At 46.2% G+C, this 2,730-nt stretch overlaps 1 long non-coding RNA gene across 1 annotated transcript; it reads right to left on the reverse strand.

Annotated features, from left to right (window-relative positions):
- Positions 1-973: 973 nt before the first annotated feature.
- Positions 974-2,524, reverse strand: LOC105373614 (uncharacterized). The gene is made up of 2 exons (XR_923323.3): positions 1,867-2,524; positions 974-1,289 (listed from the first exon to the last, which is right to left on the reverse strand). It is a non-coding gene; the product is annotated as an uncharacterized LOC105373614 (long non-coding RNA).
- Positions 2,525-2,730: the final 206 nt, after the last annotated feature.

Genomic DNA, 2,730 nt, shown 5'->3' on the forward strand with positions numbered 1-2,730 from the left:
ACTGACACTACCCAGCTTTAAGACTTACTATAAAGCTACAGTGATCAAGACAGCAAGGTATTGGTGAAAGAATAGACAATTAGATCAACAGAACAGAATAGAAAGCCCAGAAAAAGACTCAAATAAATATAACAGATATTTGATAAATGAGTAAAGATAATACAATAGCACAAAGGTAAGTGTCTTCAAGCAGTGCTGGAATGATTGGAAAGGCACATGTAAAAAAATGAATTTAGACACAGATCTTATACACTTCACAAAAAATTAACTCACAGTGGATCACAGACTTAAATATAAAATGTAAGACTATACAACTCCTAGAAACTAACAAATGACAATGCCTTTTTAGATACACCACCAAAATTAAAAACTTCTGCTCTGCAAAAGACACTGTCAAAAGAATTAGAAGACAAGCCACCGATTGGCAGAAAATACTTACAAAAGACATGTCTGATAAAAGACTATCTAAAACACACAAATAACTCTTTAAACTCAACAATGGGAAAACAAACCATCTAACTGAAAATGGGCAAAAGCCCTGAACAGAAACCTAGCCAAAAAGCCATGCATATGGCAACTAAGCATATGAAAAGATGGACAACATCATACATCATTAAGGAATTGCAAATTAAAACAATAAGAAGATACCACTACACATCTATTAGAATGGCTAAAATCTAAAACACCAACATCAAATGCTGACAAGGATGTGAAGCAACAGGAACAGGATGTGAAAGAAGCTAATCTGCAAAGGCTACATACTCTGTGACTCCAACTATAAGACATATTGGGAAAAGCAAAACCACAGAGATAGTAGAAAGATTAGTGGTTGCAGAGGCAGCTGGAAGAGAGGTATAAACAAGCAGAGCACAGAGGAACTTTAAGGCAATGAAACTATTGTGTACAATATTATAATGGTGGATAGATGTCATTATACCTTTGTCAAAACCCATGGAATATATCACACCAAGAGTGAACACTTCTTTAAACTCTTTGCATTCACATGTGAACGGAAATGAAAAATGTTTTCCCTATTTCATCTGCTGTTTACAAATAAGCCCACTACTGTCCAGTAATTATCCAGGAGTGCTTTGAGTCTTCTGCTCTCAGATCTATAAGATATTGTGTTGCTTCCCTCGGCTTACTCCTTCCAGATGCTGGTGCCACATGGACTTAGCTATAGGGAATTTGTCCCCAATAGCTTTCATCTTGAGGCTTGTGGATAAAACTTGCTACCTAGTTTTATTGCAGATGTGGTCCATTTTGCTCTACCTGTTTGTATGGAGGACCTGAAGAGATCAAAAAATTACACTTAGACTATCACCGTCATCCCATCATTACCCCTTCTGATTTTTCCTCAAGCAACCAAACATTCTAGAATATTAAAATATTTGAGCCCACTTTTCAACCTCAGGCTAATGCCACAGTAAATGGACTCCCCTCACCCCCTCCTACACTACATATGTAAAGGTTCTGTTTATTGAGTGCTTTTCCACGTCTGTGCTCATTTTTAATTTAAAATTTCAGACCCCGTCCTCACAATAATTTTTTAAAGTAGACATTGCTGGCCCTGAATAGATCCTTTGCTCCTCCTCAAGTCATTTTAATGACACGGTCTTGCACTGTCACCGAAGCTGGAGTGCAGTAGCCTGACCATAGCTCACTGCAGCCTCAACCTCCCGGGCTCAAGGGATCCTCCCACTTCAGCCTTCCAAGCAGCTGGGAACACAGGCGTGTACCACAGCATCCGACTAATTTTTGTATTTTTTGTAGAGATGGGGTCTCACTTTGTTCCCCGGGCTGTCTATGCTATTCTTATATCCATCTCTGGCGACAGATGTTTCTTTTCACTTTATGAAAGCTTACCCTTCTATGGCGGAGTTTTATCTTCAAGCGTCTACTGACCAGAGCGTTTTCTGGGACTCCCCTGCCCCTTTGCTCCCTTGCTGGCAGGCCAGGCCTGTGTTTTCCTCCACAGTTCCCCGTGGAACTGTGCAGTCCCTCTTCAGAGACTGTTCCAGCCTCAGGGGTGACGCCACGAGCTAAGATCTGGACAGGTGGTGGGGTGCATGATTGCCACCAGGTGTCTTCCTTCCCCAGGGCTGGATGAGACTCTGGCCGGGGGGGGAAAGAGACAGTCTGTGGCGGACTCCCATTCTCCTGCCTCTGCACAGGCTACTTTCTGGCATTCCTGCTCCCTTGCAGAGCTCCTGGAAAGGGGACAGTGCATTCCTGAAAACGCAAAGCCTCTTCTGTATCAATTACTCCGTTCTTGCCTGGGCTCCACACAGGCCAGCGCGCGCTCAGCTCGGTGCATGCGGCTGGGCCCTGCGAGCCACGCTTCTGCGGCCCCGCTGGCCCTGCCGATAGGGGGCGCGAATGAAAGGCCGCGCGGCTGGAGAAGGGCGGGCTCGCTCCGGTCTCCACCCTGTGGGCTCCCGGCGCCTGCGCGTCCCACGCCCTTGCTGCTGAGTCCTGCACGTGCGGAAGCGAACTCTTTGTGAAGTCGGTGTGAAGGAAGCGACCTCTCCGTGAAGTCGGTGTGAAGGAAGCGACCTCTTTGTGACGTCTGCGACCTCTTTGTGACGTCGGCCCTTGCCGGTGCCCCGCACAGCAGCCAGCAGCTCCCAGCCCAGGCAGGAGGTGCACTGGCCTCCCGGCGGCCTTTTGAGGCCTAAGAGCTCCAAGCCCTGCCCTTCGTGCCCTCTGCACTAGACGCGTGGCCACAGC

The sequence above is a fragment of the Homo sapiens genome, chromosome 2 (assembly GCF_000001405.40).
Source record: "Homo sapiens chromosome 2, GRCh38.p14 Primary Assembly".
NCBI classification, from domain to species: domain Eukaryota; kingdom Metazoa; phylum Chordata; class Mammalia; order Primates; family Hominidae; genus Homo; species Homo sapiens.